At 46.6% G+C, this 27,270-nt stretch overlaps 1 long non-coding RNA gene and 1 pseudogene across 1 annotated transcript, besides 2 other annotated features; both read right to left on the reverse strand.

Annotated features, from left to right (window-relative positions):
- On the reverse strand, window positions 93-942 carry ATP5MC1P3 (ATP synthase membrane subunit c locus 1 pseudogene 3; annotated as a pseudogene).
- Window positions 10,693-26,920, reverse strand: LOC124906289 (uncharacterized). Its single transcript, XR_007096114.1, has 2 exons — window positions 26,794-26,920; window positions 10,693-11,032 (listed from the first exon to the last, which is right to left on the reverse strand). It is a non-coding gene; the product is annotated as an uncharacterized LOC124906289 (long non-coding RNA).
- Window positions 26,376-26,595: a silencer, noted in NCBI's record as "silent region_14767". NCBI's record gives its function as "represses an Ori minimal core promoter by ATAC-STARR-seq in GM12878 lymphoblastoid cells {active_cell/tissue: GM12878}" and the evidence as "EXISTENCE:reporter gene assay evidence [ECO:0000049][PMID:35858748]".
- Window positions 27,006-27,155: a silencer, noted in NCBI's record as "silent region_14768". NCBI's record gives its function as "represses an Ori minimal core promoter by ATAC-STARR-seq in GM12878 lymphoblastoid cells {active_cell/tissue: GM12878}" and the evidence as "EXISTENCE:reporter gene assay evidence [ECO:0000049][PMID:35858748]".

The raw sequence follows: 27,270 nt of genomic DNA on the forward strand, positions 1-27,270 counted from the left end.
GGGTTCTAAGTTCTGGATTCCCAGTGCAGTATTTGTTCCACCAAGAAAGTCGCCCCCTTGCCCCGCCTTTTTTTTTTTTTTTAAAAAAAAAAAGAGAAACGTGTTTAATGGTAAAACTCAGCACATGCCAGCACCAGGAATGTTATGGAGTTGTAGCAGCAAGGGTGAGTAGGTGACCCCCATGGAGCTTCACATGGCAAAGAGGATGAGGAAGGTGACTGTCAAACAGAAGAGTCCCATGGCCTCAGATAGGGCAAAGTCCAGAATGGCATAGAAGAGCTGTTCCTTGAGAGATGGGCTGATGGCATAGTGAATGATCAAGTTGCCAGACACCATTGCTATGCCAGCCCCTGAGCCAGTTACAATCGTGGGTTGGGTGTGGTGGCTCACACCTGTATTCCTAGCACTTTGGGAGGCCCAGGCAGGCAGATTGCTCGAGCTCAGGAGTTCACGACCAGCTTGGGTACATTGCAACACCCGGTCTCTACAAAATATCAAACAATTAGCTGGGCATGGTGGCATGCATCTGTAGTCCCAGCTACTCAGGTGGCTGAGGTGGGAGGATCGCTTGAGCCCGGGAGGTTGAGGCTGTAGTGAACTGTGATTGTGCCACTGCACTCCAGTCTGGATGACAAAGTGAGACCCTATCTCAAACCAACCAACCAATTGTGATTGCCCCAGCATCAATAAACTTGGCTGCTGTGTCAATGTCCCAGGAGACAACACTGGTCTGGAACTCCTATCTGGCCACGTGGAGCGGAGAGCTGCCGTAGGAAAGCTGTTTGGATAAATTATTTGGCCTATTCAGAAAGGAGGCAGACACAGACCTGAGTAAACCCCTAGTACTACAGCAGATCAGAGCCTGAGAAATGAGTAGTGCCCCAGGGGTCTGCATTTTTTCAGTCTGCACTCCCACTGCCCTGCATCTCCAGCTTGGCCCACAGCATTCACCCTGCCCAAGATGACTTAGAAGTTGCAATTTTCTAAATGCTGATGTGTTCTCTGATCAGAATCTTCCTCTGAGTGGGCACAGCAGGCTTCTGTTCCCTGGGCAGGGCAGAGGAATTCTTGTCCTTGGATGTAAAGAAAATAGGGAAATCTGCCCAAAGAATTAGCTGTGGTTCTTAATGCTCAGGAGTCTTCCTGGTTCCCCTAACTTTCCTCCAGAGTTCTATTTTCTTTCTTTCTTTCTTTCCTTTCTTTCCTTGCCTTCCTTGCCTTTCCTTGCCTTTCCTTGCCTTCCTTGCCTTCCTTGCCTTCCTTGCCTTCCTTGCCTGCCTGCCTGCCTGCTTTCTTTTCTTTCTTTCTTTTTCTTTCTTTCTTTCTCTCGCTCGCTTTCTTTCTTTCTTTCTTTCTTTCTTTCTTTCTTTCTTTCTTTCTTTCTTTCTTTCTTTCTTTCTTTCTTTCTTTTTTTCTTCCCTCTCCCTCTCCCTCTCTCTTTCTTTCTTTCTTTTTTGAGACAGAGTCTTACTCTGTTGCCCAGGCTGGAGTGCAGTGGTATGATCTTGACTCACTGCAACCTCTGCCTCCAGTTTCAAGACATTCTCCTGCCTCAGCCTCCTGAGTAGCTGGGATTACAGGCAGCCATCAGGCCCGGCTAATTTTTGTGTTTTTAGTAGAGACAGGTTTTCTCCATGTTGGCCAGGCTGGTCTCGAGCTCCAGACCTCAGGTGATCCACCCGCCTCGGCCTCCCAAGGTGCTGGGATTAAAGGCGTGAACTGCCACGCCTGGCCTGGAGTTCTATCTTTAAGTTTCTCTGTTCTCTGATCTTCAGAAGCTGCTGGAGAACATGGTCCCACTAGTTATTCACACACATCCATAAAACTCCCCACTTAAGAGTCAGAATGTCAGGTTGGCCAATGACCAATGAACCACAAGTCGGTGGTTGGAAACTTTCTTCAAAAATGAGGAACTTAAAAGTTGAAGAGCCTGTGTTGGTTGTTCCAGGGCAATTGTCCTTTATTCTGACCCAAAAAACCTCATGTAGCTCTAAATTCAGAAAATAACACGTGTTGGTGAGAATGTGGAGAAATTGGAACCTTTACGCATTGTTGATGGGACTGTAAAATGGCACAGCCACTGTGGAAAATAGCATGGAAGTTCCTTTAAAAAATTAAAAACAGAACAACTCTATGACCCAGCAATCTCACTTCTGGATATATATCCAAAAGAATGGGAAGCAGGGCCTCAAAGAAATATTTGCACACCCTTGTTTATAGAAGCTTATTCACAATAGCCAAGAGGTGGGAGCAAACCAAGTGTCCATCAAAGGAAGAATGGATAAACAAAATGTAGTATATACATACAGTGAAATATGATTCAGCCTTAAAAAGGAAGGAAATCCTGTCACATGCTACAACATGAGTAAATCTTGAGTCATTTTGCTAAATGAGATAAGCCAGTCATGGCCGGGCATGGTGGCTCACGCCTGTAATTCCAGCATTTTGGGAGGCTGAGGCAGGTGGATCACAAGGTCAGGAGTTCAAGACCAGCCTGGCCAACATGGTGAAACCCCGTCTCTATTAAAAAAAAATAAAAATAAAAAAAAAATAGCCAGGCTTGGTGGCGGGTGCCTATAATCCCAGCTACTCGGGAGGCTGAGGCAGGAGAATCGCTTAAACCAGGGAGGCAGAGGCTGCAGTGAGCCGAGATCACACCACTACACTCCACCCTGGGCAACAGGGCAAGACTCTGTCTCAAAAAAAAAAAAAAAGAAAGAAAGAAAAGAAATATGCCAGTCACAAAAAGGCAAATATTGCATGATTTCACTATCTAAAATAAAATTTAGTTAAATTTTATTTATTAAATTAATTAAATTTATAGAAACAGAAAGTTGAACAGTAGTTGCCATGGGGTGGAGGAAGGGGGAACTGAGGAGTTATTTAATGAGTATAGCATTTTAGTTTTGCAAGATGAAAAAGTTCTGGAGGCTGGGCATAGTGGCTCATGCCTGTAATCACAGCACTTTGGAAGGCTGAGGAGGGCAGATCCCTTGAGCCCGGAAACAAGACCAGCCTGGGCCACATGGTGAAACCCTGTCTCTACAAAAAATACAAAAATTACCTGGGTGTGGTAGTATGAGCCTGCAGTCCCAGCTACTCGGGAGGTTGAGGTAAGGGGATCACCTGAGCCCAGGGAGGTAACTGCAGTGAGCCATGATAGCATCACTGCACTCCAACCTGGGCGACAGAGTGAGACCCTGTCTCAAAAAAAAAAAAGTTCTGGAGATCAGTTGCACAACAATGTGAATACACTTAACAGTCTTGAACTGTATGTACACTTAAAAATGGGTAAGATGATAAATTTTATGTTATGTGTTTTTTACAATTAATCGGCTGGGCACGGTGGCTCACGCCTGTAATCCCAGCACTTTGGGAGGCCGAGGTGGGCAGATCATGAGGTCAGGAGATCGAGACCATCCTGGCTAACATGGTGAAACCCCGTCTCTACTAAAAATACAAAAAATTAGCCGGGTGTGGTGGCAGGCACCTGTAGTCCCAGCTACTCGGGAGGCTGAGGCAGGAAAATGGTGTGAACCTGGGAGGCGGAGCTTGCAGTGAGCTGAGATAGCACCACTGCTTTCCAGCCTGGGTGACAGAGCGAGACTCTGTCTCAAAAAAAAAAAAAAAAAAAAAATTAAAAAACTCAATGAAAAGGTTAACAAACAAATTAGATATAATTGAAGAAGAAATTAATAAACTAGAAGAACTACCAAAATTATTCAGAATATAACACAGAGAAACAAAGAGATATCAGGAAACATGCATAATAGAGTGAGAAGATCTAACATTTGGCTAACTGGGGTTCTAGAAGAAAATAATAGAGAAAATGGACAGGTAACACTCAAAGGGAAAATGCCTGAGAAATTTTCCAGAATTGCTGAAAAATATATATCCTGTTTCTTTTTTTTCTTTTTCTTTTTCCAGTAAGCCTTTTGCACTCCTAAAATCCTGTTTCAGAAATCACAATGAATCTCAAGAATGATAAAAATAACCCACACTTAGACTCCTCACAGAGAAACTGCAGATCAAAGACAGGAAGATTACATTAAAAGCATCCAGAAAGCAATCAAGATGTATTTCAAGCCTGGCACGGCAGCTCACGCCTGTAATCTGCTGAGGCGGGCAGATCACTTGAGGTCAGGAGTTCAAGACCAGCCTGGCCAATGTGGTGAAACCCTGTCTCTACTAAAAATACAAAGAATTAGCCAGGTGTGGTGGTGCACGTCTGTAATCACAGCCTGTAATATGCTGAGGTGGGCAGATCACTTGAGGTCAGGAGTTCAAGACCAGCCTGCCCAACATGGTGAAACCCTGTCTCTACTAAATATACAAAAAATTAGCCAGGCGTGGTGGTGCACGCCTGTAATCCCAGGTACTTGGTAGGCTGAGGCAGGAGAATTGCTTGAACCCGGGAGGCAGAGGTTGCAGTGAGCCAAGATGGTGCCATTGCACTCCAGCCTGGGCAACAAGAGCGAAACTCTGTCTCAAAAAAGAAAAGAAAAGAAAATGGAGGAGGCCTTGTATTTGCAGGAGCCAGGGGATAAATGGAAACTTTCTGCTCAACTTTGCTGTAAACCTAAAACTGCTCTAAAAAATTAAATCTGGCTGGCCGCAGTGGCTCACGCCTGTAATCCCAGCACTTTGGGAGGCCAAGGCAGGTGGATCACCTGAGGTCAGCTGTTCAAGACCAGCCTGGCCAACACGGTGAAACTCCGTCTCTACTAAAACTACAAAAATTACCTGGGTATGGTGGCAGGTGCCTGTAATCCCAGCTACTAGGGAGGCTGAGGCAGCAAAATTGCTTGAACCTGGGAGGTGGGGGCTGCAGTGAGCAGAGATCGTGCCACTGCACTCCAGCATTGGGCAACAAGAGCGAAACTCCGTCTCAAAAAAAAAAAAAAATTAATTTGAAAAAAAAAAAAAAAAACCTCAAGGCCAAAAAAGACATCTAGAGAGAAAAAAAGTAATGAACAAAAATAAGCAACAAAATAATAATTACATAGACAGGAAACATCTTAATTGAAACAAAACAAGACATTTTTCAAAACAAAAAAAATACACTTAATAAGGAATTTGAAGTTAGCTATTGCTCGGTATGGTCCTGCCCTATTTCCTACTCTCTTTCTCCTACCCTCTGTCTTCATTAATTTATTTTTCTTTTTTGAGACGCAGTCTTGCTATGTCACCCAGGCTGGAGTGCAGTGGTGTGATCTCAGCTGACTGCAACATCTGCCTCCCAGCTTCAAGCAATTCTTCTGCCTCAGCCTCCAGATTAGCTGGGATTACAGATGTACACCACCATGCCTGGCTACTTTTTGTAGAGATGAGATTTCACGTTGTTGGCCAGGCTGGTCTTGAACTCCTGACCTCAAGTGATCTGCCCAACTTGGCCTACCAAAATGCTGGGATTACAGGCGTGAGCCACCACCCCCAGGCTGTTTGTCTTCATTAATATGAATGACAGCTTTTATTCTGTAACTAGGAGAAGAGAGAGAGACTGAGATGAAGAAAGAGAGGGGAAAGGAAGTTTGTTGAAGGAAGAAAGGGTATTTGGCTTTTAATACTGATATTGACCTGGAGAGGAAAGGGGTCTAGAAAGGCCACTGCTTCATTATCATCTGGGGTTGGGGTAGGGGTTGGGGGAGTATGGTAAAATTATTCCCACAGCAAACCTCTATGGGGCAGAAGACCACTAGAGACACTTTCAATGATGGTGCCCATCTGTGCAAGAGCTTAGAAGCTATAAAGTATACTTACATATGTCATCTCATTTAATCTCTGAGAGAGAGGTCACTTGCCTACTCTGTCAGGTAATGCCAACAACAGCATTTCTAGATATATTGGTTAGTCTTTTTTTTCTTCTTCTTTTAGAGACAGGGTCTCACCCTGTTGCCTAGGCTGGAGTACAGTGGTGTGATCATATAGCTCACTGTAATCTAGAATTCCTGGGCTCAAATGATCCTCCTGTTTCAGCCTCCCCAGTAACACGGACTAACAGGCGGTGCCACCACACCCAGCTAATTTTCTTTTTTTTTGAGACAGAGTCTCCCTCTGTAGCCCAGGCTGGAGTGCTAGTGGTGTCCTCTCAGCTCACTGCAACCTCCTAGGCTCAAGCAATCCTCCTGCCTCAGCCTCCCAAGTAGCAGGACTACAGGCCCATGCCACCAAGCTTGCCTTTTTCTTTTTCTTTTTCTTTTTTTTGAGACGGAGTCTTGCTATGTCTCCCAGGCTGGAGTTCACTGCAATCTCTGCCTCCTGGGTTCAAGCAATTATCCTGCCTCAGCCTCTCGAGTAGCCGGGACTACAGGTGCATACCACCATACCCTGCTAAGTTTTGTATATTTAGTAGAGACGGGGTTTCGCCATGTTGGCCAGGCTGGTCTTGAACTCCTGATCTCAAGTGATCCACCCACCTCAGCCTCCCAAAATGTTGGGATTACAGGCATGAGCCACCATACCCAGCCCCTGGATAATTTTTTGTATTTTCAGCAGAGAGAGGTGTTTTCCATGTTGCCCAGGCTGGTCTCCAACTCTTGAGCTAAAATGACCTGCCCATTCGGCCTCTCTAGGATTACAGGCATGAGCCACCATGCCTGGCCCCTAATTTTTGTTTTTTGATTCTTTTGTGGAGATGGGATCTTGCTCTGTTGCCTGGCTGGTCTTGCACTCCTGGCCACAAGTAAGGCGTCTGCCTTGGCCTCCCTAGTAGCTGGGATTACAGGCATGAACTACCATCCCCAGCCCTCTTGGTTAGCCTTATACTTCCTGATATTTGTTAGTTGCAATTTTGCAGGCTCCCTCTAATTTCAACATTTCTTGTTGCTTATGAGCAGAGAAAGGTAAGCTAAGATTTTGAAAATTTTTATCTCCAGCCTGGACCTTTCACAGGAAATCTGGACTGCTAATTGAAAGCAACACTGGAATATCTAAACAAGCACTTCAGGCCAGGTGCAGTGGGTCACGCCTGTAGTCCCAGCACTTTGGGAGGCTAAGGCAGGCGGATGACTTGAAGTCAGGAGTTTGAGCCCAGCATGGGCAACATGGTGAAACCCCGTCTCTACTAAAAATACAAAACTTAGCCAGGCGTGGTGGCTGACACCTGTATTCCTAGCTACTGGGGAAGCTGAGGCAGGAGAATAGCTTGAAACTGGGGTGGCAGAGGCTGCAGTGAGCCGAGATCGAGCCACTGCACTCCAGCCTGGGTGACAGAGCAAGACCCTGTCTCAAAAAAAAAATAAAATAAAATAAATAGGCCGGGCGCGGTGGCGCATGCCTGTAATCCCAGCACTTCGGGAGGCCGAGGCAGGCAGATCGCCTGAGGTCAGAAGTTCGAGACCAGCCTGACCAACATGGAGAAACTCCGTCTCTACTAAAAATACAAAATTAGCCGGATGTGGTGGTGCATGCCTGTAATTCCACCTACTCGGGAGGCGGAGGCAGAAGAATCGTTTGAATCTGGGAGGCAGAGGTTGCAGTGAGAAGAGACTGTGCCATTGCACTCCAGCCCGGGCAACAAGAGCAAAACTCCATCTCAAAAAAATAAATAAAAGGCCGGGCGTGGTGGCTCACGCCTGTAATCCCAGCACTTTGGAAGGCTGAGGTGGGCCGATCACTTGAGGTCAGGAGTTTGAGACCAGGCTGGCCAACATGGTGAAACCTCATCTCTACAAAAAATACAAAAATTAGCTGGGCATGGTGGCAGATGCCTGTAATCCCAGCTACTCGGGAGGCTGAGGCAGGAGAGTCACTTTAACCTGGGAGGTGGAGGTTGCAGTGAGCCAAGATCGCGCCACTGCACTCCAACTTGGGCAACAGAGTGAGACTCCGTCTCACACACACACACACACACACACACACACACACACACACAAATAAACAAGCACTTCAAATTTATGATGCCCAAACAGTCAGTCTGCTGAATTAGTTCTTTCTAGTTGCTTGTCTTGCAGTCTTTCCTATCTCAGAAAATGGCAACACACTATCCTTCCAGATGCTTAGACGAACACCTTGGAAGCAGCCTTCTCTTCTTGCTTCTCTCATATCTCATGTCCAACCTATTAGAAAATCCTGTTGGTTTTATGTTTCAAACTGTATTCAGAATCCAATCACTTCTCATAACCTCCTCTACTACCATACCAGTCTTAAGTCTCCATCACCTCTCATTTGGATTACTGCAATAGCCTGCTTAACTATCACATGTGGTAGGAGCTCAATAAATAACTGAAGAATGAATAAATGAAATGCCACCCAGGTATGGGTTATCATTGGCTCTTTTGTGTCTCATGGTTAAACTAGAGACCCCTCACCATATTTTGGGAGAGAGCGGAAAGACATAATATTTGGGCAGGAAATACTGTGTGCCCACAGAGGAGGCAATGTGAAGGGAAGTTAACTCGATCATGAAACAGACAGGAGAGAGAAATCAGCAGAACTGTGGCTCTGAGGACTCTGAGTGGGACTCAGCAAAGGCACACCAGGCCACCAAGTGCCCTGTCCCTGCCGCTCTGACTGCCCATCCTTTGCTCCTGTAGAGCTTGACTGGATACCCTGTTTCCCTCTGCTGACCAATTCAACCCAGGGTCCTATATGGTGATCTTCAAGAAGCCAGCCAGAGCTGGCTGGGTGCGGTGGCTCATGCCTGTAATCCCAGCACTTTGGGAGGCCAAGATGGGTGGATCACCTGAGGTTGGGAGTTCGAGACCCGCCTGACCAACATGGTGAAACCCCATCTCTACTAAAAATACAAAAATTAGCCAGGTGTGGTGGTACGTGCCTGAAATCTCAGCTACTCAGGAGGCTGAGGCAGGAGAATCGCTTGAATCCGGGAGGCGGAGGTTGCAGTGAGCCGAGATCGCACCACTGTACTCCAGCCTGGTGACAGAGTGAGACTCTGTCTAAAAAAAAAAAAAGAAGCCAGCACAGGTGAATGACCCTCCCTTAGGACCAAGTGAAGAGAGCAGTTTCCTTCTGAGCTTTGGAGCTGCGTCCTCTAGAGGGAGGGAATTCAGTGGAGCAGCGAAGTTCTTCAAACTGGGGCGAGAGAGGGAAACTAAGGAAGGGTTGTAGGTGTGGCCTGGCCTGGGATCCTTTCTACTCTTGTGCCACTCTAGGGTCCATCCTTCTCCCTCTCCCTATAGGGGAGATGCAGAAGCTGCTCTCTAGAGCCTAGGTCTTCTGCCTGCTTTGGGAGTCCTTCCAGGAGTTTGTAGTTTGTTCCCCTGTCTCTTATTAGCCATTTTTTCAGTAGGTACCTAAGGCCTGGTTCCTTCCTCTTGGTCACTCAGGAGCTCTTCTCCAGACTGGCTAAAGCAGTATGGTTTGGGAAAAGCACTTGGCTGGGTCTCCTACATGTTGAGTTCAATTTCCTCCTTTGGGTGTGTTTTAGCTTCCAGCTGGGATTTTTGCCATAGTAATTATAACAACCACACTCTGCATAGAGACTCTAAAAGCTATATAGGCAAACACATAAATAGAAAGGAATTCCTAAGGCAAGCCAAGTAGTTATCAGAATCTCCACCCCTACCAGAGTCGGAAGCTCTGTACTTGCCTCCTGGTAACTGCTTAGTGAGAATTATTTAGCCAGCTTGGATTCTTTCTACAACCACATTGAAATCAGATATCCTGAGGGAAGGGGAAGGTTTATCCCACCCCAACCCTGTTCCTCTCCAAGCCTTTCTCATCTAGCCAACAGCACTGTCATTCACATGTCTGCTTGAGACAAAAACCTAGAGGTTTGCTTTTATTCTTCCTTGTCCCTCACCTCTCATCTTATCAGCAAAGCTTATTGCCTCTACAAAATGTGCCTGGAGTCTATCTTCTTCTCCTCACTATTGGGTGTCAACTGTGTTCATCTTGGACAATTGCTAACTGATCTCCTTGCTTCCACTGTTGGTTCTTTCTTTCTTTCTTTCATCCTTTCTTCCTTCCCTCCCTCCCTCCTTCCTTCCTTCTTTTCTTTCTTTCTTCCTTTCTTTCCTTTTTTTTTTTTTCCTTTTGATTCAGTCTTGCTCTATTACCCAGGCTGGAGTGCAGTGGCATGATCTCAGCTCACTGCAACTTCTGCCTCCCCAGCTCAAGTGATCCTCCCACCTCAGCCTCCTGAGGAGTTGGGACTACAGGTGCACACCACAATGCCCAGCTAATTTTTGTATTTTTTGTAGAGACAAGGTTTTGCCATGTTGCCCAGGCTGGTCTTGAATTCCTGGGCTCAAGCTCTTCACCCTCCTCGGCCTCCCAAAGTGCTGGGATTACACGCATGAGCCACCGTGCCCAGCATCTGCTTCCACTTTCATACTGCTACGTATCATTCTCCCCATAGCTTCTGGAGCCATCTTTTAAGACAATAAATCCCATCATTGCCTTGCTCACAACCCTTGTTGGCTCTTGCGGCTATGAGGAGAATGAACTCCTACTGAACTTTTGATCATTTCAGACTTCTTCATGGCCCAAGAGGCTTTAATGTGGCTCAGCCTTCCTCTCCAACCACGCTTCTTAGGGCTCTCCCCCTCAGCTACCTGACCGTCTCTGTTCCTCAGTGTGCCAAGCTTGTTCCTGTCTTCAAGCCATGGGATTTGTTGTTGGCTATGCTTAAAATGCTCTATGAAGATTTCCTCATGGCTGACTCCTTGGTATTTAGGCCTGAGTTCAGTTACTATTGCTCCATAGTGAAACACTCCAAAACTCAGTGGCTTCAAAACAACAATCATTTATTTTGCTCATATATCTGTATTTTGGGCAGGGCTTCATGGGGAAGGCTCATTTTGCTCCATGCACCATCAGCTGGGGCAAATCAGCTAACTGAGAATTTGCCTCTGAGTTGGCTCACTCACATGGCAGTCCTCTATGAGTTAAGCAAGGGTTGAAGGCTGGGGCTTTAGCTATTCTCCACGTAGCTAGGCTCCTGGGAATGTGTCCTAAAAGAGTTGGGTAGAGGCTGGGCACGGTGGCTCACGCTTGTAATCCCTACACTTTGGGAAGCTTCAGCTCAGGTGTTCGAGAGCAGCCTGGGCAACATGGTGAAACCCCGTCTCTACAAAAAAAAAATACAAAAATTAGCTGAGCATGGTGACGTGTGCCTGTAATCCCAACTGCTTGGGAGGCTGAGGCATGAGAATTGCTTCAGCCCAGGAAGCAGAGGTTGCAGTGAGCTGAGATCATGCCACTGCATGGCATGGCATGTCATCCAACCTGGACAACAGAGTGAGACTCTGTCTCAAAAAAAACAAAACAAAAGTCAGGTGGAAGCTGTAATGTCTTTTCTGACCTAGCCTTGGGAGTTCTGTTGTATTTTATTAGTTGAGAAGACCAAAAGACCCATGGGAATTCAACTGAAGGGAACACAGAGTCTGCCACTTGAGGGAGTGGCAGGGTTCTGAAACAGCGTGTGGAAATTGAAATATTGTTTTTCTGGATAATTTTTGGGAAATACTATCTGCCACAGCTACTGCCACAGTGCAGTCTTCACTGACTGCTCTCTATGTATTAACCACTCCTCTACACCCCAAACAGCTATTCTCTACCATTTCAACATCTGCTTCCTCATAGCACCTGCCATTCTCTTGTTCCTTGATGTATTTGCTCACTTGCAGCCTTATAGAAGAATATAAGCTCCCTGAGAGCAGAAGTCTTGCATGAAGGGAGACCAGATGGAAGGCTGTTGCACAAAGGTCTGGCAGTTGCAGACAGAAAGGCATTGGCTATTTAGAGACATGTGTAAGGAGGGAGAGGTTGGTATTTAGTGATTGATTGACTATGGGGGATGACAGGATGAAGGTGGACACTGGGTTGCCAGTCCATCTCAGATCGAGGACTGGCATGGGACTGAGGGTATGCATACTTTAGGATTGCCTGGCAAAGGCCACGCTCAGACCTGTCCTACTGGAGGGGTAAGTGGTGCTTACCATATGTGTGGAGAGACTGACTAGATGCTCACCAAAACCCTTTCTTCTCCTTCCTAAGCTTCTAGCTAGGTCACACTTCCTAGCTCTCTTGCAGCTAGATAGGAAATCATATAAAGTTATGGCAAAAAAAATATAAGTAGGAGCTGACATATAGCACTCTGAAGCTTGGCCTATTAAAAACCATCCTGGAAAATTCTTTTTTTTTTGAGACTGAGTTTCGCTGTTGTTGCCCAGGCGGGAGTGTAATGGCTCGATCTTGGCTCACTGCCACCTCCACCTCCTGGGTTCAAGTAATTTTCCTGCCTCAGCCTCCTGAGTAGCTAGGATTACAGGCACACACCACCATGCCCGGCTCATTTTTTGTATTTTTAGTAGAGACGGGGTTTCACCATGTTGGCCAGGGTGGTCTTGAACTCCTGACACCCGGCCCATCCGGTAAGATTCTGCGTGGTGGCCGGGCGTGGTTGCTCTTGCCTGTAATCCCAGCACTTTGGGAGGCCAAGGCGGGCAGATCACCTGAGGTCAGGAGTTCCAGACCAGCCTGGCTAACATGGTGAAACCCCATTTCTACTAAAAATACAAAAAATTAGCCCGGCGTGGGCGCGCACCTGTAGTGCCTGTAATCCCAGCTACTTGGGAGGCTGAGTCAGGAGAATTGCTTGAACCCGGGAGGCGGAGGTTGCAGTGAGCCGAGAGCATGCCATTGCACTCCAGCTTGAGCAACAAGAGTGAAACTTCGTCTCAAAAAAAAAAAAAAAAAAAAAGATTCTGCATGTTCCCTTCCTGTTCCTGGGTGGCCTTGTAGGAAGTGTGTTAACCATGACAGCATCGCAGATGGGAGAAGTCTACGTTACTGAATTTGTGGAATAGAGAACTGCTCCCTAATCCCCCAATCTTTTTTATTTCATGACAGAATTTTTGAAAAAACAAAGAAAGTTGTAGAATGTCCCCACATTTAGGATTTGTCTGATGGTTTATTCACATTGTTATTTAACTTCTTCCTCTACTTCTTGTATTTCCTGTAAAATAAAAGTCAACTCTGTAGCTTCAATTGGATTTGAGTTTGCTTTTATGGTAAGAAGTTTTTCAAAGGTCACATTGTAGGCTGGGCATGGTGGCTCACACCTGCAATCCCAGCACTTTGGGAGGCCAAGGCAGGTGAGTCACTTGAGACCAGCCTGGCCAACTTTGTGAAACCCTGTCTCTACTAAAAATACAAAAGTTAGCTGGGTGATGCATGCCTATAATGCCAGCTACTCAGGAGGCTGAGACACAAAAATTGCTTGAACCTGGGAAACGGAGGTTGCAGTGAGCCAGGATCATGCCACTGCACTCCAGCCTGGGTGACAGAGCAAGACTCTGTCTCAAAGGAAAAAAGTGACATTGTACTTTATATTGCATCATACCAGCAGGGACATCATGTCAGGTTGCCCCACCATTGGTGATGTTACATCTGAAGATTGTGTTCAGATAGTAATTGCCAAGTCCCTCCATTGTAAAGGCTCTTCCCTCCCTTTGCTATTAATATGCATAGTAATGGAGTAGTATGGGATAACCCTTGGTCATCATTCTAATATATATATATATATATATTTTTTTTTTTTTTTTGAGATAGGGTCTCACTCTGTTGTCCTGGAGTGAGGGAGTGAGATCCTGGAGTGAGGCTGGAGTACACTGGCTCAATCTCAGCTCACTGCAGCCCCAACTTCCTGGGCTCAGGTGATCCTCCCACCTTGGCCTCCCAAGTAGCTGGGACTACAGGTGCATGCCACCACGCCCAGATAATTTTTGTATTTTTTTTGTAGAGACAGGATTTCACCAAATTGGCCAGGCTGGTCTCAAACTCCTGGGCTCAAGTGATCTGCCTGCCTCAACCTCCCAAAGTGCTAGGATTACAGGTGTGAGCCACTGTGCCTGGCCAATAAAAATGTTTACATGGCAAATATTATGTGTTAGTGGAATTATTCTTTCTGTATTTTCCTGAAGGGTCACCTGACCAGATTGGTTTTCTGGCCTCTTACAGGGTTGGTTCTGGCTTCTACATCTGCCTGTGGAGCTCAGTCAGGGGACCTGCCTTCTATAGGTATATCAGCTCTGGGCAAAAGGGACAGAACTAAGGGTTTGAATTTGTAGAAATGGATTCTAGATCTTAAGGCATGGTGAGCCCAATCAGATGCAGCCTTTCTGTGGGTCTTGTTCAGGAAACCTGAGGGCCTCCCTGAAGGACACCTCTATTACGAAGCTCTTTACCTGCAGCACACTGCAAACAATCATTCAGGGAATAATGACATAACCACATACCCTCATCTTCAACCAAGATCATCAAGTGAGGCATTCACATAGGAAACAGTTCTGCCACAAAGAACACAGAATTACAATGGAAAAAAAAAGTCCATTATGATGCCCACCAGCAATGATATGAAGATCAAATGGCAAATTGTCGTAGAGTAAGCACCATAATAAATTTGTTCTCTTAAAAAAAAGTTAACTTTTATAGCATTTTGGAGGAATATTGACATCTTTGCAACACTGGTTTTTTTTTTTTTTTAATCTTAAAAAATTTTGAAGCTGGGTGCAGTGGTTCATACCTGTAATCCTGGCACTTTGGGAGGCCGAGGCGGGTGGATTACCTGAGGTCAGGAGTTCAAGACCAGCCTGGCCAACATGGTGAAACCTCGTCTCTACTAAAAATACAAAAATTAGCCAGGCATGGTGGCACATGCCTGTAATCCCAGCTACTTCGGAGGATGAGGCAGGTGAATTGCTTGAGCCGGGGAGACGGAGGTTGCAGTGGCCAAGACTGTGCCACTGCACTCCAACCTGACCCACAGAGCAAGACTCTGTCTCAAAAAAAAAAAAAATTTGAAGCAGATTTTATTTTATGGAACTGTTTAGACTTATATAAAAATTGAAGATATAGGCCAGGCGTTGTGGCTCACACCTGTAATCCCAGTACTTTGGGAGGCTCAGGCGGGTGGATCACTTGAGTTCAGGAGTTCAAGACCAGCCTGGCCAACATGGTGAAACCCCATCTCTACTTAAAATACAAAAATTAGCTGGGTGTGGTGGCGTGCACCTGTAGTCCCAGCTACTTAGGAGGCTGAAGCAGAAGAATCACTTGAATCCAGAAGGCAGAGGTTGCAGTGAGCCGAGATCAAACCACTGAACTCCAGCCTGGGTGAACAGAGTGAAACTCCATCTCAAAAAAAAAAAAAAAAAAAAAGAAAAAATTGAACATATAGTTACCCCTTTACTCCACTCTGTTTCTCCTATTATTCCTATTATTAATCTTATGTTAGTATGGTCCATTTGTTCCAATTAATTAACCAATATTGACCAATGATTATAAATGAAGTCCACAGTTTATTCAGATTTATTTATTTATTTTTAAATTTAGGGACAGGACCTTCCTCTGTCAGCCAGGTTGGAGTGCAGTGACATGATCATGGCTCATTGTAAATTCAAACTCCTGGGCTCAAGTAATCCTCCTGCCTTGGCCTTCCAAAGTTCTGGGATTATAGGTGTGAGCCACTGCACCTGGCCCAGATTTTCTTAAGTATTTTTTTTTTTTTTTGAGCTGGAGTCTTGCTCTGTCACCCAGGCTGGAGTGCAGTGGTGCGATGTTGGCTCACTGCAACCTCCACTTCCCAGTTTCAAGTGATTCTCCTGCCTCAGCCTCCTGAGTAGCCAAGATTACAGATCCATGCCACTATGCGCGGCTAATTTTTGTGTTTTTAGTAGAAACGGGTTTCACCATGTTGGTCAGGCTGGTCTTGAACTCCTGACCTCGTGATCCGCCCGCCTTGGCCTCCCAAAGTGCTGGGATTACAGGCGTGAGCCACTGCGCCCAGCCGATTTCCTTAATCTTCACCTAATGTCCTTTTTGTAATCCCGGATACCATTCAGTGTATCACACTGCATCTAGTTATCATGTCTCCTTAGGCTCCTGTTGGCTTGGGGTGGTTTCTCGGATTCTCCTTGGTTTTGATAACCTTGACAGTTTTGATGAATATTGGTCTCGTATTTTGTAGAATGCTCTTCCATTGGAATCTGTCCAATGTTTTCAATGTTTTTCTCACATTTAGACTGGGGTTATGGATGTTTTTTTTTTTGGAGATGGAGTTTCACATTTCACTCTGTTGCCCAGGCTGGAGGGCAGTGGTGCAATCTTGGCTCACTGCAACCTCTGCCTCCTGGGTTCAAGTGATTCTCCTGCCTCAGCCTCCCAAGTAGCTGGGATTACAGGTGTCCCCCACCACACTTGGCTATTTTTTTTTTTTTTTGAGACAGAGTCTCGCTCTGTTACCCAGGCTGGAGTGCAGTGGCGGGATCTTGGCTCACTGCAACCTCCTACCTCAGCCTCCTGAGTAGCTGGGATTACAGGCTCCCGCCACCACACCCAGCTAATTTTTGCATTTTTAGTAGAGACAGGGTTTCACCACGTTGGCCGGGCTGGTCTCGAACTCCTGACCTCAGATGATCCACCTGCCTTGGCCTCCCAAAGTGCTGGGATTACAGGGCGTGATCCACCGTGCCTGGCTGGTGGTTATAGGTTTTTGGGAGGAAGACCACATATTCATCACATCATATCAAGGTACATACAATCAACATGAGTCATCACTGTTGATGTTGAGTTTGGTCACCTGGCTTCATCAGGTTTCGCTACTGTAAAGTTACTTTTTTTTCGCCCTTTCCACAGTGTTCTTTTTGGAAGGAAGTCACTATGCCCACTCCTTAAGTGTGGGAGTTATGTTCCACCTCCTTGAGGAGTATGTCAGCTTCCTAAGGCAATGGTGACAAAGTACACAAACTGGTGGCTTAAAAGAACAGAAATGTGTTCTCTCATGGTTCTAGAGCAGCAGTCCTCAACCTTTCTGGTACCAGGGACCAGTTTCATGGAAGACAGTTTTCCCACAGATGTGGGGACTGGGGGATGGTTTTGGGATGAAACTGTTCCACCTCAGATCATCAGGCATTAGTTAGATTCTCATGAGGTGTGTGCAACCTAGATCCCTTGCATGTGCGGTTCACAATAGGGTTCACGGTCCCAAAAGAATCAAATGCTGTCACTGATCCGACAGGATGCAGAGCTCAGGCAATGCTCATTCACCTGCTACTTACCTCCTGCTTTGCAGCTCGGTTCCTAACAAGGCATGGACTGGTATTGGTCCTCAGCCCAGGGGTTGGAACCCTTGTTCTAGAGGCTAGAAGTCTGAAATCAAAATGTCAGCAGGGCTATGCCCTCTCTGAAGGTTCTAGGGGAGAATTTGATCCATGTCTTCTGTCTTAGTTCACTTTATGTTGCTATAACAGAATACCTGAGACTGGGTAATCTACGAAGAACATAGACTTATTTGTTACAGTTCTGGAGGCTGGGAAGGCCACGTTCAAGGGCACTGCATCTGCTGAAGGCCTTCTTGCTGCTCATTCCATTGTGGAAGGCAGAAAGACAAGAGAATATGCTTGAGAGAGAGAAGGGAATGGGGGTCAAATTTATTATTTTATCTGGAACCCGCTTCCAAGATACCTAACCAACTCCCACAATATGGTATTAATTTATTGATGAGGGCAGAGCCCTCATGACCTAGCAATCTCTTAAAGATCTCATCTTTCAACACTGGTATACTAGGGATTAAGTTTCCAACACATGAACTTCGGGGACAACTTAATTTCTGGTGCCGCTGGCAACCCTTGGCCTTACAGACACATCATCACTCCACTCTCTGCCTCTGTGGGCACATGACGCTCTCCTTCTGTTCTCTTTGTCTTTGTCTGTGGCTCTCCTCTTCTTATAATGACATCAGTCGTACTGGGTTAGGGCTCACACTAAATATCTCATTTTAACTTGATTCTACCTGCAAAGACCCTATCCAAATAAGGTCACAGGTACCAGGGTTTAGGCTATAACATATCTTTTTGTAGAACACAGTTAAATCTATAACAATAGGGGAGTATCTATATACATTAATTTTTAATTTTTTTTTTTTTTTTGAGACAGAGTCTCACTCTGTCGCCCAGGCTAGAGTGCAGTGGCACGATCTCGGCTCACTGCAAGCTCTGCCTCCCTGGTTCACGCCATTCTCCTGCCTCAGCCTCCCGAGTAGCTGGGACTACAGGTGCCTGCCACCACGCCCGGCTAATTTTTTGTATTTTCTAGTAGAGACGGGGTTTCACCGTGTTAGCCAGGATGGTCTCGATTTCCTGACCTTGTGATCCGCCCACCTCGGCCTCCCAAAGTGCTGGGATTACAGGCATGAGCCACCACGTCTGGCCTAATTTTTAAATTATTATTATTATTTTTTGGAGACAGGGTCTTTCTCTGTTGCCCAGACTGGAGTGCAGTAGCGTGATCTTGGCTCACTGCAGCCTCGACCTCCCAATCTCAAGCAGTCCTCCCACCTCAGTCTCCTGAGTTGCTGGGACTACAGGTGTGTGGCACCATGCTGGCTAATTTTGTTTATTTTTTGTAGAGACGAGGTCTCACTATGTTGCCCAGGCTGGTCTCAAACTCCTGTACTCCTCCTGCCTCAGCCTCCCAAAGTGCTGGGATTACAGACATGAGCCACTGTGCCTGGACTATATATATTATTTAGAATTCTTCTGCAAAGAAGATTTATCACTTCTCTCTCATTTAATTGTTTATTTATATCAGTGTGAACTACGACCTTGCTATATTTATTTATTAGTTCCTGAAGTTGTTTTGTCAATTATTTGGGATTTTCTGCATAGACAGTCATGTCATCTGCAGCTCCTTCGCAATCTGCATTTGGTTCCTCTTCTTGGCCTATCACAGTAGCCGGGACATCTAATACAATGTTGAGTAAGAGTGGTAAGAGAGAAAATCCTTGCCTTATTCCCAATTTTAGGGGGAAGGCATCCAATTTTTTACTACTAACTATAATGCTAGCTGTAGGTTATTTTGCCCATTCTGATAATCTCTGTCTTTTATTTTGTGTATTTAGGCTAGTCACATTTCAAAAATATTTTAAAAATAGACTTTGTTAGAGCAATTTTAGGTTTTCAGTAAAACTGAGCTAAAAGTACAGAATTCCAAATATTTCCTCCCAGTCTGTGGCTTGTCATCTCATTCTCTTGAGACCATTCACCTTTAAAGTGATTATTGATATAGGCCACCCCTGCTTCCACCCTTTGGTTCCCAGGCCCAGGAGGACTTCCCTACCCATTGCAGTTTAATATTCACCATGTTTGTAGCTGTTTTCTACTTGTTATATCCTCTTCCTTCTTTTTCTGCCTTTTCTGATTTTAATTGAGCATTTTATATGATTCCATTGTAAATTTGATCTTATTTATTTATTTGAGACAGGGTCTGGCTCTGTCACCCAGGCTGAAGTGCAGTGGCACTGTCTTGGCTCACTGGACCGTTCACCTCCTCAGCTCAAGCAATCCTCCCACCTCAGCCTTCCAAGTAGCTGGGACTACAGACACACACCACCATGCCTGGCTAATTTTTTTTTTAGACAAAGTTTCTCTCCTGTTGCCCAGGCTGGAGTGCAGTGGCCCTGTCTTGGCTCACCACAACCTCAGCCTCCCAGGTTCAAGCGATTCTCCTGCCTCAGCCTCCCGAGTAGCTGGGATTACAGTCATGTGCCACCACGCCCGGCTAATGTTGTATTTTTAGTAGAGACAGGGTTTCACCATGTTGGTCAGGCTGGTCTCGAACTCCCGACCTCAGGTGATCCGCCTGCCTCAGCCTCCCAAAGTGCTGGGATTACAGGCGTGAGCCACCGTGCCCAGCCATTTTTTTGTATTTTTTTGTAGAGACAGAGATTCACCATTTGCCCAGGCTGGTCTTGAACTCCTGGTCTCAAACAATCCTCTTGCCTTAGCTTCCCAAAGTGCTGGAATTACAGGTGTGAGCCACTGGGCCCGGCCTCTTGATCTCTTTTTGAAGAAAGATTTTACTGCTCTTCATTACGTGAGTAGTTCTTAACTGGTGGCGATTTTGTCCAGCAGTGGGTATTTTGCAATGTCTGAAGACATTTTTGGTTGTCACAACTGTGAAAGTCTTACTACAGTTATCTAGTGGGTAGAGGCCGGGGATGTTGCTAAAACATCCTACGTGCATAGTACAGTCCCTATAGCCAAGAATTATCTGATTCAAAATGTCTATAGCATTGCTATTGGCAAACACTGAATTAGATAATAGGAACCAATGTACATTAGTCAGGAAAGTCTGGGTTATGGTTACAAAAAGGATTTCTCCCACCTTTTTTTTTTTTTTTCTTCAGGCAGAGACTCTTCTGTCACCCAGGCTGGAGTGCAGTGGTGCAATCTTGGCTCACTGCAACCTCTGCCTCCCGGATTCAAATGATTATTGTGCCTCAGCCTCCTGAGTAGCTAGGATTACAGGCTTGTGCTGCCATGCCCGGCTAATTTCTTTGTGTTTTTAGTAGAGAGAGGGTTTTACCATGTTGGCCAGGCTGGTCTCGAACTCCTGGGCTCAAGTGATCAGCCTGCCTTGGCCTCCTAAAGTGCTGGGATTACAGGCGTGAGCCACCGTGCCTGGCCTCCCCAAATCTTACTAACTTAAAGCAACATATCTAGTCACATGGCCCTATCCAATTCAAGGAATCAATCATATCAAGGTGCCTGGAAGTGGGGGAACTACAAGTGTTTGATGAAGAACACTAATGAATACTATACAGTAATATTTTTCCTTTGACTTCCGGGAAGCTTGGAACTCACTTTTATACACAATAGCAGTAGCTTTTGTGTTAGTGCCGGTCTTCCAAAAAGTAGATGCCAAGATTGGGTTAGACCTCAAGAGATTTACTGAGAAAAGGCCTGAAAGGGAAAATGGAAAGGAAGCTGGTGAAGCCTGGGAGAGCATCAGGCTATGATGGAGAAGAGAGGGGAGGAAGGAAGGAAGGCAAGTTAGACGGGAAGAATCTTACAGTGCAGTGCAATTCTAAGAAAGTTTTGGCATCACTTTTGAGGGGGAGTCTTTGAGCCAAAACTGCCTCTGAGAAGAGTCCTACATCTCCTGGGTACAGTGTTCCCACAATGCTCAGACATTGACTGGGAGCAGCCTGTGCTCTGACAGATTTCAGAGCACACACAGGACCATTGGTGAAATATGCTCCCTGCAGGTGAGATCTGAGAGGCACATTCTCATGGTTGCTTCAGTTCACCTGCTGGTATTGCATGAACATGCCTTTCCACACAGGTCCAGGGAGAAGTTCCTCTGTGGTTCCTCAAGGCCTCTTTTTCTAACTAGTTGGACAGCTACAGCCCCCATTGCTGCAGCTGATCTCATGGTTGTAACTGGTACTTATCTTCTCCCTCCTCCACTATCTACTCAATCCCCCTCACCCTCATGGATCACTTTTGCTGGTTGTAGCTTACGCGGTGGAGTGACCCTTGGTAATTATACCCTTCTTAGACTGGGGTTACTACACATGTCCATTCACAATTGCAATGCGGGGGAAAGGTGCAGTGGCTCACGCTTGTCATCTCAGCACTTTGGGAGCCCAAGTGGGGGCAGATACCTTGAGCCCAGGAGTTGGAGACCAGCCTGGGCAGCATAGCGAGAACCCCATCTCTACAAAAAATACAAAAATTAGCCGGACGTGGTGGTGTGCCCCTGTAGTCCCAGCTACTTGGGAGGCTGAGGCAGGAGAATCGCTTGAACCCAAGATGGAGTGGGTGGCGGGGTCAGGCGAGTCGGGGGCGGAGGCTGCAGTGATCTGAGATTGCCATCAATTACTCATGCTGTTATGGGGACTCCTTCTCTCATCAGCTAGACACTGGTGAGTAGCTATAGTTTGTAATTCAATAGGACCCTTGTTGTGTCCCCTGGCAAGAGTGCAGCGCCTTCGGGGACTAGGGTCTCTAACCTTGCAAAGCCTAGAGTCGCGGGGACAGGAAGCACAGAGTGGGTCATTGGGACTGATGGTAATGGGGCTACTCCTCTTCCCTGGCTTAGGTGAGCTATGGCCTTGTGGCAATCTCCCTCTACCCCACTTGGATTAGTTTTGCCTCCTCAGGTTGCCTCTAAGCTCCAGGTTCCTGGCTTTCCACTCTGGAAAGCTTCATTGTTTCCTCCGGTGTGCTTTGTTTGCTGTTTGTTTTGACTGGGCAATTATTCAGAAGATTCAAAATTCAAGAGGCACAAAACAGCATTTTAATGAAAAGTCTCCTTCCTACTTCTATTTTCCAGCTATCCAAGTTCCCCTCTACAACAAATGTTTTCAATTTTTTAGATACCATAACACACCTTTTTTACCCAGATGGTAACATACTATACACATTGTTCTGTACCTTGTGTGCATGTTTTTAAAAATTTGCATACAGATGAGATTAGATCTTAGAAAGCATTTCAAATCAGTACGTAAAGAGATTTCTTTTTTCTTTTTTGAGACAGAGTCTTGCTCTGTTGTCCAGGCTGGAGTGCAGTGGTGCCATCTTGGCTCACTGCAACCTCCACCTCCTGAGTTCAAGTAATTCTCGTGTCTCAGCCTCCCGAGTAGTTGGAATTACAGGCGTGCGCCACCATGCCAGGCTAATTTTTTGTATTTTTAGTAGAGACGGTGTTTCACCATATTGGCCAGGCTGGTCTCGAACTCTTGACCTCAGGTGATCTGCCTGCCTTGGCTTCCCAAAATGCTGGGATTATAGGCATGAGCCACCGTACCTGGCCCCTAAAGAGATTTCTTATTTAATTTTTATGGATAATTTTTGTGTGTGTCTGTGTGTGTGAGAGAGAGAGAGAAAGAAAGAGAGAATGTACTATAATTTATTTAACCAGTCCACCAATTGATAGGTGCTTGGTTTTTTCTTATTCTCTGTGATTACAAACAATGTCGTAATTAATAACTGTGTACATTCCAGGTATGTGAGTATATCTGTAGAATAAACTTCTAGCAGTGGAATAGCTAGGCCAAAGGGTATTTAGATTTGTCATTTAACAGTTAATTGCCAAAATCACCTTTCATAGGGATGGTACAAGTTTGTCTTCTGCCCTTAATGTGCCTGTTTCTCCAGAGTTTTGCTGATTCAAGATGTTAACAAACCTTTTTAATCTTTGCCAGTATGAAAGGATAAAAATAATATCTCAAAGTTGTTTTAATTCATTAAGATTAGCCATATAAAGCTGCCGTTTTTAAGGTAAAACTAATCGTTGAATAGTAGCAATTTCATATTCTTTTATTTCTTTGTGAGATTGTAGATCTCAGTTTTTTTTTCGGATTTCTTCTGTTTTTAATTTAATTTTTTTATTTTTAAAATTTCATTAGCTTTCGGGGTCCAAGGGATTTTTGCTTGCATGGAGATGGACTGGGGGCCAAGACTTACAGGAACCAGATAAGACGCCTGAAAGAGTATGGTTAGATGGGGCAAAGCTAGGAAACTCTTGGGCTCAGCTAGGCCTGATAGGATCAGTATGTGTTGCTCGGTCTCCTCTAGGCGCTTGTGTTTGTTCCAAATCTAGCAGAACAAGCTGCTTCAGCCCAGCCCAGAGCACTAGCAGGGATGAAATGATGGGAAACTTGGGCTCTGCACATCCAGAAGTCTTGTAGCTCTGCTGAGCTCAGACTTGGAGTTACTCCAAGGGGCTGCCCCATCACATTTTGTTTGTTGTGAGCCTCAGAGCCCCAAGAGCCTGTCCTATCTTCTTTCTCTCTCTGTGGCGCTCAATAAGTACTTGTCCTGTCCTGTCCTGTCCTGGGCACTGAGGGTGGAGAGAAGAAACAAAGCAGAATGAGGGGGTGTTCTACCTTCAGGACTCACCATTATCGGAGGCTATCTCCTTGGGGGTCCCCAGAGCAGCCCCCTGCCCTCTCAAAAGTTTTCATGACTCTTATTGTGAGTACCTAAGCTTTTCTTTGTCTTTTTTTTTTAAATTGAAGACGATTTTACATGTAATTTTCCTACATCCGCACATCTAGACCTGCTTTGATAACTTTAAAGGCTACATAAGCTTTCACTGGATGGATACATCATAATTTTTTAACAATTCCTGTGTTGATGGACATTTAGGTTGTTCTTGCCTTTGACAGCACTGCCACAAACCTTTTTTTATGATTCTTTGTGCAAATGTGCAAGTGTAACTGTTGAATAAGCTCCTAAAAGTAGAACTGTTGGGTTAAAAGATGTGTGCATTTAAAAAAGTTGATTAGTATTGACTGACTGTTCAGATAACAGCTCAAATTGTCTCTCATTGGAGAAACAGAGGCCCCCAGAGGCCAAGTCCCCTCCAGTCCTCCCTATGTCACATATCCCAATGTTCCACAGGACTCACTGCTTTTTCACATTTGGTCTGACTTGCTGATATGGGTCTCAAATTGTCTCCCATTAACACAATCTTCTTAAAATTACATTTTCTTCTATAGTATGGATAGACCATAATTGGATTCATTTCCCTATTGATGGAACTTTATTGAGGTTGCCTCGGGATGGCGCTATGCAGATAATTTTGCAAAGAGCATTTGGGGCAGTCACGGTGGCTCATGCCTATAATCCCAGCATTTTGGGAGGCTGAGGCGGGAGGATTACTTGAGGTCAGGAGTTTGAGACCAGCCTGGCCAACATGGGTGAAACTCCACCTCTAACAAAAAATACAAAAATTGGTTGGGTGTGATGGCAGGCGCCTGTAGTCCCAGCTACTGGGGAGGCAGAGGTGGGAGAATCTCTTGAACCTCGGAGATGGAGGTTGCAGTGAGCTGAGATGGCACCACCGCACTCCAGCCTGGACGACAGAGTGAGACCCTGTCTCAAGAAAAAAAAAAAGAAAAAAAGAAAAAAAAAGACAAATTGCACTTCTGCCCAAACCCTTGCCTGAGCTAACAATAGTAGCTAACATGTATTGAACACTTTCTATGTGTCTGCCCTGCCCTTTGCAATGTATTAGCTCAAAACTCCGATTAATTAGATATTTTTATTAGCTTAATTTTACAGATGTGAAAGCTGAGGCAGACAGATAAATGGCATGTTCAGGGTTTTAGAGCTGATAAGAGACGGGGTTGGAGTTAAAATCCACGTTCTAGTTCCAGTCAGTGGGCCTGCCTGACCACTGTGCAATTCCTGGCTGCAAGTCCCAGCCTGGGGCTTTGGGTGCAAAGGGTGGCCATATTTAAAAGTGAGATGCTGTCCAATTACTCTCCCAAAGGGCTATGCCATTCTCTGGTACCACCAGAGTAAGAGTGAGGCCCTTTTTCTCTTCAAGGAGTATGTCTTTTTCTTTTTTTTTTTTCTTTTTTTTTTTTGAGACGGAGTCTTGATGTGTTGCCCACGCTGGAGTGCAGTGGCACGATCTCGGCTCACTGCAAGCTCCGCCTCCCTGGTTCACGCCATTCTCTTGCCTCAGCCTCCCGAGTAGCTGGGACTACAGGTGCCTGCCACCACGCCTGGCTAATTTTTTGTATTTTTAGTAGAGACGGGGTTTCACCGAGTTAGCCAGGATGGTCTCAATCTCCTGACCTCGTGATCCGCCCGCCTCGGCCTCCCAAAGTGCTAGGATTATAGGCGTGAGCCACTGCGCCCAGCCAGGAGTGTCTTTTTCTTTTCTTTTTTTTGAGACGGAGTCTCACTCTGTTGCCCAGGCTGAAGTGCAGTGGCGCAATCTTGGCTCACTGCGATCTCTGCCTCCTGGGTTCAAGCGATTCTCCTGCTTCAGCCTCCCGAGTAGCTGGGATAACAGGCGTGCGCCACCACGCCTGGCTAATTTTTGTATTTTTAGTAGAGACGGGGTTTCTCCATGTTAGTCAGGCTGGTCTCCAACTCCTGACCTTGTGATCCGTCCGCCTTGGCCTCCTAAAGCGTTGTGATTACAGGCGTGAGCCACCGCACCTGGCAGGAGTGTGTCTTTTTCATTTCCATATCCCTGGGTGTAGGGGATATGGAAATGAAATATACCCCACATAAGGTCCAGCATGGAGCAGGTAGGTGCCTGTGGGACGGCTGGATGGATGAATGGATGGATGAAGGGGAGCAGACAGGTGTGGAGAGAGGGAGGACAGGTCACACCAGAGGGGCCATTGCTCAGTGTGGCATCTTGCCTCTAAAACTCATTCATTTAACACGTTGAAGTGTTCCTTATTTTTCGGTTCCTAGCTGACTCGCCCCTTCCTGGAGGGATCTGCTGAAGCGTCCCTCTCCGATCAGAGCCTTCCCTGACCTTCCTGTCTCCACCGCACCATGCATTCCTCACCCTCCTTATCCCGCTTAGTTTTTCTCCACAGCATCTATCCTCACCGTACATGCATTTACACTTCTGTTTTGCTTATCGTTTTCCCCATCCCCGCAGGGGAGAATAGGAACCTCACTAGGGCAGAGGCTTTGTTTGTTCACTGATTCATCACCGGGACTTAGGACATTTCCTGCTGTTGTCGCTCAGTCAGTATTTGGTGAATATGGCCCCTGTTATTCACTGTTCCAGGAGCTGGGAGTGCAGCGGCGGGCGGGACAGAGACCCCGCCTTCAGGGCTCGACATTAATCCTGCCTGAAGGTGGGAGCCCGAAGAGCCTCTCCCAGCCCTGGGCTCCAGATCACTTTGTCCCTTCCTAAAGAAATCTAAGGCTGGCAGCGACGGCTCTCCCTTGGGCGCAACAGCCGCGCCCCCGGCGGCAGGCCCGCCCCACAGCGCCCCCTGGCGGCCCCGAGCGCGCCGCACTGGAGCCCCGCGCTCCGCAGGCGAGCTGGAAACCCCGGGAGCTCCGGGGCCATTTCCTCCCAACTTTCGGACACTTCTGCTTTCGCCCGGGGCGGGAAGAGGAGGAGGGCTGGGGGAGGGCGCAGCGCAGGGCGGGGCAGGAAGGCTGGGGCTCTGGCGCTTTCTGCCACGGCGTCATCTGGAAGACCCGCTTTTTCAAGGGCGAAGACCCCACATTCTTGGAGGGCCTAGCTTTCCTCCGGGCCCAGCTCTACACTCACCTTACGCCTCTTCTCCCCGCGGGAGGTGAGGGGTTGCGGGGTCACAGGAGGAGGCGAGGGCCGGGCCAATGTTCGTCCTGCCGCCCTACGTCCCCTAGGTCCTGCACCAGGGTTTTGGGGCCAAAGCAAGCAGTGCCTCTGTGTTTGGGGTGGAGCTTCTTCACGGTCTGTGAACACTACGCGCAAGCCCTCGGGCGCGGTATGGGCGAGTGCCCTGCCCTGGCGGGGGTCCCAGGGATCCGCAGGGAGGGGAAGGCCTCCGAACAGAAGTCAGGGCGCCACCTGGCGGCCGCAGCCCACAGCCCACAGCCCACAGCCCACAGCCCGCAGCCCGCAGCCCTCAGAGCCCAGACGCGCCTTAGGGGCCGCTTGGCCAGCGGGATCTGCAGACCCTAACCCTCCTGCAGGATCCCGGGCCCATTTCCCGTAGTGGTTGCGGGCCTGGGTCACTGACATACGTAAGGTATGACAATCCTA

Source organism: Homo sapiens, chromosome 3, assembly GCF_000001405.40.
Source record: "Homo sapiens chromosome 3, GRCh38.p14 Primary Assembly".
NCBI classification, from domain to species: domain Eukaryota; kingdom Metazoa; phylum Chordata; class Mammalia; order Primates; family Hominidae; genus Homo; species Homo sapiens.